At 39.1% G+C, this 13,788-nt stretch overlaps 1 protein-coding gene across 19 annotated transcripts in view, besides 2 other annotated features; it reads right to left on the bottom strand.

The window, feature by feature from the left end:
* THOC2 (THO complex subunit 2) overlaps window positions 1-13,788 on the bottom strand; it is a 132,484-nt gene that overhangs the window by 41,408 nt on the left and 77,288 nt on the right. For all 19 annotated transcript variants that reach the window (XR_007068195.1, NM_001081550.2, NM_001441236.1 and 16 more), the window contains 3 exons: window positions 3,358-3,399; window positions 2,803-2,933; window positions 2,599-2,700 (listed from right to left, as the gene is read on the bottom strand). Coding sequence is in view for 18 of the 19 variants with exons in the window: in NM_001081550.2 (NP_001075019.1) it covers window positions 2,599-2,700; window positions 2,803-2,933; window positions 3,358-3,399 (275 nt within the window). In the remaining variant the exon portion in view is untranslated. The remainder of the gene's footprint in view (window positions 1-2,598; window positions 2,701-2,802; window positions 2,934-3,357; window positions 3,400-13,788) is intronic.
* Window positions 5,793-6,651: an enhancer, noted in NCBI's record as "H3K27ac-H3K4me1 hESC enhancer chrX:122781620-122782478 (GRCh37/hg19 assembly coordinates)". NCBI's record gives its function as "activates a minimal SCP1, AML or CMV promoter by ChIP-STARR-seq in naive H9 embryonic stem cells {active_cell/tissue: H9 hESC(naive)}" and the evidence as "EXISTENCE:reporter gene assay evidence [ECO:0000049][PMID:30033119]".
* Window positions 6,652-7,508: an enhancer, noted in NCBI's record as "H3K27ac-H3K4me1 hESC enhancer chrX:122782479-122783335 (GRCh37/hg19 assembly coordinates)". NCBI's record gives its function as "activates a minimal SCP1, AML or CMV promoter by ChIP-STARR-seq in naive H9 embryonic stem cells {active_cell/tissue: H9 hESC(naive)}" and the evidence as "EXISTENCE:reporter gene assay evidence [ECO:0000049][PMID:30033119]".

A 13,788-nucleotide genomic window follows, 5' to 3' on the forward strand; every position in this document is an offset into this window, starting at 1 on the left:
CCAAGTATATTAAAAATTCTGCACATACTATTCTGTAGTAAATTGTATTTTTATTCATTCATTCATATTAATGCCTACGATGACAGTCAAAGTACTAAGCATTAGAAATACAAGGAAGATTGTGTCTCAGCCTTTTAGCTAAGGTCAGTGTAGAAATATAAGGATGAAGCCGCGTGCAGTGGCTCACGCCTGTAATCCCACCACTTTGGGAGGCCAAGGCGGGTGAATCACAAGGTCAGGAGTTCGAGACCAGCCTGGCCAACATGGTGAAACCCCGTCTCTACTAAAAATACAAAGAATTAGCTGGACTTGGTGGCAGGCGCCTGTAATCCCAACTACTTGGGAGGCTGAGGCAGGATAATCGCTTGAACACAGGAGGCGGAGGTTGCAGTGAGCCAAGATCGTGCCACTGCAGCACTCCAGCCCGGGCAACGGTGCAAAACTCCATCTCCCAAAAAAAAAAAAAAAAATAAGAAATACAAGGATGAATAACAGAGTAACAGTTCCTGCTCTCAAGCCTGGTCCAGTGAAGGAGACAGATTTAAATTCATTTATTAAATTTCAATATTCTAAAAAAGAGCAATCAACAGAACAGTACTTATATGCTATTGATAATATAAAAGGTGGCTGGGGTGTGGTAGCTCACGTCTGTAACTCCAGCGCTGGGAGGTCAAGGTGGGAGGATCACTTGAGGCCAGGAGTTCAAGACCAGCCTGGGCAACATAGTGAGGTCCCATTTTTACAAAGAAAAACAATATTAATATAATAATAATATAAGAGGGGGATAATATATATTGTATTGGCTTGCATATACATAAGAATATATGGAAGGATAAATAAGAGACTAAACAGTGGTTACTTTTCCTTGAGGGGAAGAACTGAGTAGATGGAGGATGGAGTGAGACTTTTTGCTGTATTTATACCTTTTATATTTACTGAAACTTAAATCATGTAAACACATAAACTATTCAAAAAACAATCATAGCAAGGTACCTAGAGGTATGATAACATTATATGCTAAAGAATAGTGATGGAAATAAAGATTGATTGTGTCTGGCAGTTTATGCTAGGGAAGCCTTCACTAGAAGTAACACTGGAGCTCACTCTCCAAGAATGAGGTCACCAGATGGAAAGGGGGAAAGGAAGGTAAGGGAAAACCTGTACAAACAGAGGGAACAAAAAGTATATACAGGGGAAGAGAAGCTAAGGAGAGAGTGGTACATTTAGGGGACATAAGTAGGCTCAGTACATCTGGAAGTAGAATTGGCAGGAAAGGAGGTTGGATGCAGGGAGGGACAAACCAGGGAGGACCTCTTATTTATATCACCATGCCATAAAGCTTAACATATACCTTCAGGTAAAGTCAGTCACCAAAGGATTTTTAGGTAAGAGAATATACAACTATAATACACCAGATAAAATAACTAAGGTAGTAGTGGTAGTGACAGTGGATGAATTCAAGGTATTTAAAAATGCTTAATGTATTATTAAACAATCCATGCAGAGCACTTAGTTTAATGCCTGGCACATACAGTAATAGCTCCCTAAATATTAGCTGCTGTTGTTAAGCTAGAAACTGTACCTGGAGAACTCTTAAGTCCAGAAACTCTTTCAGATCTAATATCAACTCCTGCCAAACAAAACTCCCCCAAGTGAAATCATTTAGTCTCATCTATCCTCCCATAGCACTTTATTCATACTGTATAACAGCACCTATTATACTAGGTTGTTTCAATATAATCCATAGGCTCACAGGAAAAAAAAAAAAAAACAACAACTAGATTGTGATCATGCACACACCTGTTTTCCCAATAGGCTGTGACCAGAAACAATATCACTGGGCAAGGACAACATTTAACAGACATTACACACTGTTAAATCTAAATAAACTGAGAACGAACTACTTTTAATTAGAATAACCATACCACTGCCATGAATTTAAAAAAGGAATGACAACTGACAATAGCCTCGTTGAAAACACTTGCAATACAGCAATACAATTAAGCATCTAAACTAATACTAATCTGAAGTACATGATTTTCATAATTAAACTTCAAATAATCTACTGGGAAGTAGAACATCACTCTTATGTTTTTAATGATATGAAAATAAAAGTGTACAAATTTTTTTAAAAAAGAAATTTCTCAAAAGTTGACTCCCTATGGAGATAGTTCTGGATAATTTCATTAGTTCTTCCTAACAGATTAAAAAAATTCATTATGGTAACTTTCAGCAGTGGAAATTGCTAGAACTTTTACTACCTTGCACAAATCACTAAAGGTAAGCAAAGGCCACAGCAGGCTGTCCTTAAAAAGAAAAAACAAAACCTTCATCCCATAATATGATGCACATATTAAAGAGGATTTCCATTAGATTTTTATCCATATGTAAACACAACAACTATGAAAACATTAACTTGGTAGTCAAAATGAGCTAAAACCACAGTTAACAGTCATTCCATCTGTAGTATATAAATCAGCTATACCATTCACAACACATAGGCTTTCCCAAAACTGAGGCTCAGACAAGCTACCTGAAAGAAAGTATATTAGATTCAGATATAATTTAGATTAATATGAAAAATAAATTAAAACTTACTTCATGATATATTTGGCTCTGTCTATTGTTTGAGCTTTAACTTTTACTAAAAGTGGGTGACTGTTATAAGTTTCATTCTTCCACTGGCCATACAGACGATATCTTAAAAAACGATGAGATGAAGAATTAGGAAAAGTTAAACACTTAGAGGTTAATATACTAGAATTACTAATAGTTAAAAACATGAAAATAATATGTATTTACCTATGCTGATATGGAAATGTTTTAAACATTCCCCATAGTTCCTCAGACATACAAGCATTGCAGTCCATCAAAGAAAGAGATGGAAGTAGTACCTGGTCAGTAATGCTAAGCAAACAGCTAAGGATAACTTCCTAAAAGAAAGAAGGAAAAGTTATTTCAGTAAGAGGTCTATATTAATATAACCAACAATAAATTTATAACAGCCTTGGGAAAATTACCATTTCTTAATAACATAACACACAATATCCCATTCCTCACCCACCCTTTTCACAAAGCTTATTTATGTTTCTCCATCGAAGACATAAAATGGGGTGAGGAAAGGAAAGGGGTAGCAAAGGAATGAGGAACTTTTATCTCTCTTCCTTTTTCAACATCAGGGGAAAAAATGTTAATCTTAAAAGATAACTTTGCATATGCCGCCAAAAACTATAATCAGCATCTACATTATAAAACAATTACTCATACAGATGATTAAAGCTTGTTCACAGTAAAATTTGTAATATACTGTAGCAAGACAAACATTAGACACATTATTGGATTTTTCTAGTCTCTTACCGTTTTTTCTTTATCTTCTTGTTTGCTTCCATCAGACTGAAACTACAATTTAAAAAAAGAAATTAATAAAATACAAAAAGGTTAAGATTATGATGTCACAATTAATTTCTAATTTGAAAAAACTTTAACTTGCACATGGTTGTAAATTGTTCTTACTTTTTACAAATATGTAGATTTTAAATATAGCCTGTTAACCTTTTTAAATTTTATCTGTTTCTAACCTCTAAGTCATACTTGACATCCATGAATTTTAAGTGTCAATTTTTATAAACCAATTCTTTTCTCAACCTATCAAACCAAAGCATCCTAAAATTGATCTAAGAATTTATTATAAAAGTGTAGCAAGGGCTGGGCGCGGTGCCTCACGCCTGTAATCCCAGCACTTTGGGAGGCCAACGTGGGCAGATCACCTGAGGTCAGGAGTTCGAGACCAGCCTGGCCAACATGGCGAAACCCCGTCTCTACTAAAAATACAAAAATTAGCCAGGCATGGTGGCGCACACCTGTAGTCCCAGCTACTCAGGAGGCTTAGGCAGGAGAACCACTTGAACCCGGGAGGTGTAGGTTGCAGTGAGCCGAGATCGTGCCATTGCACGCCAGCCTGGACAACAAGAGCAAAAAAAAAAAAAAATTGTGGCCAGTACAAAAACTTCATTATAATACATTTGCATTTTTCCATCCAGAGATTATAGTTTTTCTTCTATGGAATTAGTATAATCAAACACTAAAGCAACAAAAATGCAAAAACAAAGCCAAAATTAAACGCAAAGAAATTTAAATCTATCTTTTAATTCACCACTCCCAAAGTCCTCACTGAAAGATAAGCCCAAAATACCAGTAACATTACTAACAAAGACAAAACCATTGCTTAAATTGTACAGACTGAATGAAAAATCCTGGGTCCGTATTATATAAACAATTTGCAGATTTACAGATGAGCCCCTAAAGTGATGTTTGACAAGGATGTCTATTAATTCAAAATGAAACAGTGAATGATACTTGTGTGAATATAAACAGACAGAGGGCTGGCGGAGTCTGTAGAGGCCAAAAAGACAACTGAAGTACTGACAACCAGTGACAATCTAGATTTCTGGCAAGGATTTAGCTCAATATCAAGTGAGAAAGAGGGAAAAGCTAATATGCAGATAACAAGCTTCTTATTTTCTTGGTAGATAAGGGTGTTTTGTGTATGCATACGCTTTCACACTTCAGTAATATAATGGATATTACCACAGGAAAAGTCTAACTGTTATGCTACATTTTCACATAACACTAATTCAGGGCCTGCCATGTTACCTTTATGGGAAAATACATACACTCAATTTGTTTTTAATTGGCAGGTTAAAAAGGTATGGTTCCTTTCACAGAAATAATTTATTAAGTCAACATATATCCTGGTAAGCAAAGAAGGAACTGGGTTATAAAGGAGTGGCCTGGCAGAAAAAAGCCAGATGGTTTGGTTTGGTTTCGGGGTGGTAAGGTAGCACACACATAATTCTGGTGGCACATAGGGTGTACATTGGGAAGCAAAAATACAGGTATCCTGTAACTGGAAAAACTAGGTTTATGGTATATTATGTCGGGGAAAAAGACAGTTAAGCTCCTCCTTTCCTGGTATACTATAATTTAAACAAACCTAATAAAGCGACACACAGTTTTTTTCCCATAGAAATAAAACATTTTCTTATTTACTAAGTTGTCCTAACTCCCTTTCTAGGTGACTCATATGAGTTTCAAGCATCTATTCTCTAGGTTTCATATCAATTTCAAACATCAATTCTCTAGATTTCATTAAGCAGGAAAATTTGAAAAGGGGAAAGAAATATAGGAAGCAAAATAAAACCATCTAGAAGAGCAGTAAAAGACCTTCCTATCAAAGTCGAATTATAGCAAGAATGTACAAAATTAAATCAAGAAGTACATGCAAATAAAAGCAATTTTCTTTTGTTTGGTAGGAAAATATATTCTACTCCCTTGATACTTTTTCTTTTAGTTTAATTTGCTTTTTAATTCAAAGCAACTGTAAGACTCTCACATAATACTATAAGTTTTACTGAATGCCAGCTAGAAATGGGAGGGAGACAGAAACAGGGAGGGAGAACAAGAGACATGCATTCATTCATTCATTCATTCATTCAATGACTAGATTCCAGGCATTGGGAATTCAAATATGAACAGGACAGAGTACAGGCACCTCTTGAAGATCAAAAACTGTACTTGGGCCAGGCACGGTGGCTGACGCCTGTAATCCAAGCACTTTGGGAAGCTGAGGCAGACAGATCATGAGGTCGGGAGTTCGAGACCAGCCTGACCAACATGGTGAAACCCCATCTCTCCTAAAAATGCAAAAAATTAGCTGGGCATGGTGGCACTCGCCTGTAGTCCCAGCTACTCGGGAGGCTGAGGCAGGAGAATCGCTTGAACCTGGGAGGTGGAGGTTGAGGTTGCAGTGAGCCTAGATCACGCCACTGCACTCCAGCCTAAGCAACACAACAAGACTCTGTCTCAAAAAAAAAAAAAAAAAAAAAAGATTTTGAAAATGGAAAATAAAACTTGCAGATCTAAGAAGATCAAATGGGAAGTTAAAAAAAGCTATATGGATTGTTGAGACCTGGCAAATTGTTTAAATGTAATCAGCCTAACTTCTATGAACTCTCAGAAATCACGGGTTCGGTGGCTGGCAAGAAAGCCAAATAGGAACAGCTCCGGTCTGCAGCTCCCAACAAGATCAACGAAGAAGGTGAATGATTTCTGCATTTCCAACTGAGGTACCCGGCTCATCTCAGTGGGACTGGTTAAACAGTGGGTGCAGCCCACAGAGGGCGAGCCAAAGCAGGGTGGGGCATTGCCTCACCCGGGAAGTGCAAGGGGTCGGGGAACTCTCTCCCCTAGCCAAGGGAAGCCGTGAAGGACTGTGCAGTGAGGAACAGTGCATTCTGGCCCAGATACTAAGCTTTTCCCACAGTCTTCACAACCCACAGACCAGGAGACTTCCTCTGTGCCTACACTACCAGGGTCCTGGGTTTCAAGCACAAAACTGGGTGGCCGTTTGGGCAGACACTGAGCTAGCTGCTGCTGCTGGAGTTTTCTTTCAAACCCCAGTAGCGCCTGGAACACCAGGCGAGACAGAACCATCCACTCCCCTGGAAAGGGGGCTGAAGCCACAGAGCCAAGTGGTCTAGCTCAGCAGATCCCACCCCCACGGAGCCCGGCAAGCTAAGATGCACCGGCTTGACATTCTCGCTGCCAGCACAGCAGTCTGAAGTCGACCTGGGACGCTGGAGCTCAGCGGGAGGAGGGGCGTGTGCAATTACTGAGGCTTGAGTAGGCGGGTTTTCCCCTCACAGTGTAAACAAAGCTGCTGGGAAGTTCAAAGTGAGCAGAGCCCACTGCAGCGTCACAAAGCTGGTGTAGCCTGACTGCCTCTCTAAATTCCTCCTCTCTGGGCAGGGCATCTCTGAAAGAAAGGCAGCAGCCCCAGTCAGGGGCTTATAAATAAAACTCCCAACACCCTAGGACAGAGCACCTTGGGGAAGAGGCGGCTGTGGGCACAGCTTCAGCAGACTTAAACGTTCCTGCCTGCCAGCTCTGAAGAGGGCAGCGGATCTCTCAGCACAGTGCTCAAGCTCTGCTAAGGGACAGACTGCTTCCTCAAGTGGGTCCCTGATCCCTGTGCCTCCTGACTGAGAGACACTTCCCAGCAGGGGTCGACAGACACATCATACAGGAGAGCTCTGGCTGGCATCTGGCGGGTGCCCCTCTAGGAGGAAGCTTCCCGAAGAAGGAAAAGACAACAATCTTTGCAGTTCTGCAGCCTCTGCTGGAGCTACCCAGGCAAACAGGGTCTGGAGTGGACCTCCAGCAAACTCCAGCAGACCTGCAGCAGAGGGGCCTGACTATTAGAAGGAAAACAAACAGAAAGGAATAGAGTCAACACCAACAAATAGGATGTCCACACAAAAACCCCATCTGAACGACAAAGACCAAAGGTAGATAAATCCATGAAGATGAGAAAAAAACAGCACAAAAAGGCTGAAAATTCCAAAAACCAGAATGCCTCCCCTCCTCCAAAGGATCACAACTCCTCAACAACAAGGGAACAAAACTGGACAAAGAATGAGTTTGAGGAATTGACAGAAGTAGGCTTCAGAAGGTGGGTAATAAGAAATTCCTCCAAGCTAAAGGAGCATGTTCTAACCAAATGCAAGGAAGCTAAGAACCTTGAAAAAAGGTTAGAGAATTGCTAACTAGAATAACCAGTTAAGAGAAGAACATAAATGACCTGATGGAGCTGAAAAATACAGCATGAGAACTTCCTGAAGCATACACAAGTATCAATAGCCGAATCGACCAAGCAGAAGAAAGGATATCAGAGACTGAAGATCAATTTAATGAAACAAAATGTGAAGACAAGATTAGAGAAAAAAGAATGTAAAGGAACAAACAAAGCTTCCAAGAAATATGGGACTATGTGAAAAGACCAAACCTACGTTTGATTGGTGTACCTGAAAGTGACGAAGAGAATGGAACCAAGTTGGAAAACACTCTTCAGGGTATTATCCAGGAAAACTTCTCCAATCTAGCAAGACAGGCCAACATTCAAAATTCAGGAAATACAGAGACCACCACAAAGATACTCCTCGAGAAGAGCAACCCCAAGACACATAATCGTCAGATTCACCAAGGTTGAAACGAAGAAAAAAATGTTAAGGGCAGCCAGAGAGAAAGGTCGGGTTACCCACAAAGGGAAGCCCATCAGACTAACAGCGGATCTCTCAGCAGAAACCTTACAAGCCAGAAGAGATTGGGGGCTAAAAATAAACATTCTTAAAGAAAAGAATTTTCAACCCCGAATTTCATATCCAGCCAAACTAAGCTTTATAAGAGAAGGAGAAATAAAATCCTTTACAGTCAAGCAAATGCTGAGAGATTATGTCACTACCAGGCCTGCCTTACATGAGCTCCTGAAGGAAGCACTAAATATGGAAAGGAAAGACTGAAACCAGCTACTGCAAAAACCTACCAAATTGTAAAGACCATCGACACTATGAAGAAACTGCATCGACTAACAAGCAAGATAACCAGCTAGCATCATAATGACAGGATCAAATTCACATATAACAATATTAACCTTAAATATAAATGGGCCAAATGCCCCTAAATTAAAAGACATAGACTAGGAAATTGGATAGGGTCAAGACCTATCAGTGTGCTGTATTCAGGAGACCCATCTCACGTGCAAAGACACACATAGGCTCAAAATAAAGGGATGGAGGAAGATTTACCAAGCAAATAGAAAGCAAAAAAAGCAGAGGTTGCAATCCTAGTCTCTGATAAAACAGACGTTAAAACAACAAAGATCAAAAAAAGACAAAGAGAGGCATTACCTAATGGTAAAGGGATCAACGTAACAAGAAGAGCTAACTATACTAAATATATATGCGCCCAATACAGGAGCATCCAGATTCATAAAGCAAGTTCTTAGAGACCTACAAAGAGATTTTGGCTGCCACACAATAATAGTGGGAGACTTTAACACCCCACTGTCAATATTAGACAGATCAACGACACAGAAAATTAACAAGGATATTCAGGACGTGAACTCAGCTCTGGACCAAGTGGACCTAATAGACATCTACAGAACTCTCCACCTCAAATCAACAGAATATACATTCTTCTCAGCATCACATCACACTTATTCTAAAATTGAGCACATAATTGGACGTAAAAGACTCCTCAGGACATGCAAAATAATGGAAATCATAACAAACAGTCTCTCGGACCACAGTGCAATCAAATTAGAACTCGGGATTAAGAAAAAAACACACAACTACATGGAAACTGAACAACTTGCTCCTGAATGACTACTGGGTAAACAATGCAATTAAGACAGAAATAAACAAGTTATTTGAAACCAATGAGAACAAAGACAAAATGTACCACAATCTATGGGATGCAGCTAAGGCAGTGTTTAGAGAGAAATTTATAGCACTAAATGCCCACAGGAGAAAGCGGAAAAGATCTAAAATCGACATCCTAACATCACAATTAAAAGAAGTAGAGAAGCAAGAGCAAACAAACTCAAAATCTAGCAGAAGACAAGAAATAACTAAGATCAGAGCAGAACTGAAGGAGATAGAGACACAAAAAACCCTTCAAAGTATCACGGAATCCAGAAGCTGGTTTTCTGAAAAGATTAACAAAATAGACTGCTAGCCAGATTAATAAAGAAGAAAGAGAGAAGACTCAAATAGACACAATAAAAAATTATAAAGGGGATATCACCATTGATCCCACAGAAATACAAACTACCATCAGAGAATACTATAAACACCTCTACGCAAATAAACTAGAAAATCTAGAAGAAATGGATAAATTCCTGGACACATACGCCCCCCCCCCAAGACTAAACCAGGAAGAAGTGGAATCCCTGAATAGACCAATAACAAGTTCTGAAATTGAGGCAGTAACTAATAACCTAACAACCAAAAAAGGCCCAGGACAAGACGGATTCAAAGCCAAATTCTACCAGAAGTACAAAGAGGAGCTCGTACCATTCTTTCTGAAACTATTCCAAACAATAGAAAAAGAGGGACACCACCCTAGCTCATTTTACGAGGCCAGCATCATCCTGATACTAAAACCTGGCAGACACACAGGCCAACATCCCTGATGAACATAGATGCAAAAATCCTCAATAAAATACTGGCAAAACCGAATCCAGCAGCACATCAAAAAGTTTATCCACCACAATCAAGTTGGCTTCATCCCGGGGATGCAAGGCTGGTTCAACATAGGCAAATCAATAAACGTAATCCATCACATTAACAGAACCAATGACAAAAACTACCTGATTATCTCAATAGATGCAGAAAAGGCCTTCGAGAAAATTCAACACCCCTTCATGCTAAAAACTCTCAATAAACTAGGTATCGATGGAACATATCTCAAAATAATAAGAACTATTTATGACAAACCCACAGCCAATATCATACTGAGTGAGCAAAAGCTGGAAGCATTCCCTTTGAAAACCAGCACAACACAGGGATGCCCTCTCTCACCATTCCTATTCAACATAGTATTGGAAGTTCTGGTCAGGGCAATCAGCCAAGAGAAAGAAATAAAGGGTACTGAAATAGGAAGAGAGGAAGTCAAATTGTCTCTGTTTGCAGATGACATGATTGTATATTTAGAAAACCCCATTGTCTCAGCCCACAATCTCCTTAAGCTGATAAGCAACCTCAGCAAAGTCTCAGGATACAAAATCAATGTGCAAAAATCACAAGCATTCCTATACACCAATAATAGAGAGCCAAATCATGAGTGAACTCCCGTTCACAACTGCTACAGAGAGAATAAAATACCTAGGAATACAGCTTATAAGGGATGTGAAGGACCTCCTCAAGGAGAACTACAAACTACTGCTCAAGGAAATAAGAGAGGACACAAACAAATGGAAAAACATTCCATGCTCATGGGTAGGAAGAATCAATATCGTGAAAATGGCCACACCATCCAAAGTAATTTATAGATTCAATGCTATCCCCATCAAGCTACCAGTGACTTTTTTCAGAGTTAGAAAAAACTACTTTAAATTTCATAAGGAACCAAAAAAGAGCTCGTGTACCCAAGACAATCCTAAGCAAAAAGAACAAAGCTGGAGGCATCATGCTACCTCACTTCAAACTATACTACAAGGCTACAGTAACCAAAATAGCATGGTACTGGTACCAAAACAGATACATAGACCAATGGAACAGAACAGAAGCCTCAGAAATAACACCACACATCTACAACTATCTGATCTTTGACAAACCTGACAAAAACAAGCAATGGGGAAAGGATCCCCTATTTAATAAATGGTGTTGGAAAACTGGCTAGCCATATGCAGAAAACTGAAACTGGACCCCTTCCTTACACCATATACAACAATTAACTCAAGATGGATTAAAAGACTTAAACGTTAAGACCTCAAACCCGAAAAACCCTAGAAGAAAATTTAGGCAATACCATTTAGGACAAAGGCATGGGCAAAGACTTCATGACTAAAACACCAAAAGCAATGGCAACAAAAGCCAGAATTGACAAACGGGATCTAATTAAACTATTCTGCACAGCAAAAGAAACTATCATCAGAATGAACAAGCAACCTACAGAATGGGAGAAAATTTTTGTAATCTATCCATCTGACAAAAGGGCTAATATCCAGAATCTAGAAGGAACTTAAACAAATTTACAAGAAAAAAAAAACCCATCAAAAAGTGGGCGAATGATATGAACAGACACTTCTCAAAAGAAGACATTTATGCAGCCAACAAACATGAAAAAAATGCTCATCATTACTGGTCATTAGAGAAATGCAAATCAAAACCACAATGAGATACCATCTCACACCAGTTAGAATGGTGATCATTAAAAAGTCAGGAAACAACAGATGCTGACAAGGATGTGGAGAAATGGTAATGCTTTTACACTGTTGTAAATTAGTTCAACCATTGTGGAAGACAGTGTGGCAATTCCTCAAGGATCTAGAACTAAAAATACCATTTGACCCAGCAATCCCATTACTGGGTATATACCCAGAGGATTATAAATCATTCTACTATAAAGACACATGCACACGTATGTTTACTGCAGCACTGTTCACAATAGCAAAGACTTAGAACCCACCCAAATGCCCATAAATGATAGACTGGATAAAGAAAATGTGGCACATATACACCATGGAATACTATGCGGCCACAAAAATGGATGAGTTCATGTCCTTTGCAGGGACATGGATGAAGCTGGAAACCATCATTCTCAGCAAACTAACACAGGAACAGAAAACCAAACACCGCATGTTCTCATTCGTAAGTGGGAGTTGAACAATTAGAACACAAGGACACAGGGAGGGGAACATCACACACAGGGGTCTGTAGCAGGGTAGGGGGTTAGGGGAGGGATAGCATTAGGAGAAATACCTAATGTAGATGATGGGTTGATGGGTGCAGCAAACCACCATGGCACGTGTATATCTATGTAACAAACATGCACGTTCTGCACATGTATCCCAGAACTTAAAGTATAATAATAATAATAAATATATATATATATACACACACACTTGCCTGTGAGCAACTGAATTTTTAAGTTTGAATAGGCAGAGTGCAGTGGCTCACGCCTGTAATCCCAACACTTTGGGAGGCTGAGACCACGGATCACGAGGTCAGGAGCTCAAGACCAGCCTGACCAACATGGTGAAACCCCTTCTCTACTAAAAAAAAATGCAAAGATTAGCTGGGCATGGTGGGCGCGCACCTGTAATCCCAGCTACTCAGGAGGCTGAGGCAGGAGAATCGCGTGAACCTAGGAGGCAGAGGTTATGGTGAGGTGAGATTGCGCCACTGCATTCCAGCCTGGGTGACAGAGCTAGACTCCGTCTCAAAAAAAAAAAAAAAAAAAAAAAAAAGTTTGAATAAAACTAGCCACAATTATGCCTATATAGGCTATTAGCTGAATGGCCCAAAACAAGTTCCAAAATTGCCCTATAAAGACACAGTAGCTGATCGGGCTGCATAACAGTACAGGACACACAAAAAATATATAGGTTTATAGGTTTATTAGGAGGAGGGTTTTTGGGGAGTCATGGAATAAATGGAAAAGTTGTAGATATAACTAGATAATTTTTTATTACTAATGATCTATTTTTCGTATCCCTGCCCCTTGAACATTTCAAACACTACTCAGGATTATGTCTCAGAAGAGAGAGGAAAAAAACACAAGATTTTTGAAAAGACTGGAACCTGAAACTGTGTGAATTAAAACACTATTTTCAACTTCCTCCTTCTTCTCATTCTTACTACAATTTATTTAGTACTCACTATGTGCCACGTACAGACTAAAACCTTCGCATTTATTTCTTAAAACTACTCTATGAAGAATCTTGGGCTTTAAGCTACATAACCAAGACAGATTTTCAATTTTGAAAACAAATAAGTGGAATGAAGCAGAATCAGACTCCCCCTCCTGTAATAGCTGACAAAAAAACAAAAAGTAGTAAACATCAGCCTCAAAGTTCTAAAGCATTTGGTTTATAAACTACAGTTTTGGAACTACTGGTCTAAGGCACATTCTCCTTGCAATCCAAATTTTTATTATGAAAAATTTCAAATTACATAAAAACTGAAAGGATAGTATACTAAACAGCTATATATACCTACCTGCTAAATTCAACAATTAACATTTTGCCCTTTTTTCGGCAGACCAAAAAAATTTGCAGGCATGACACGTTTCTCAAAATAATTCAGGGTGTCTCCTAAGAACAAGGACATGCCGCCATATTAACACAAGATCACTATCTCACCTATTTCCTAATGTCATCTAATACCCAGTCTGGGGTATATTCTGCCTGCCTAATTTCAGGTTTTACTAAGCTTTATTTGTAAATCA

Source organism: Homo sapiens, chromosome X (genome assembly GCF_000001405.40).
Source record: "Homo sapiens chromosome X, GRCh38.p14 Primary Assembly".
NCBI lineage: Eukaryota > Metazoa > Chordata > Mammalia > Primates > Hominidae > Homo > Homo sapiens.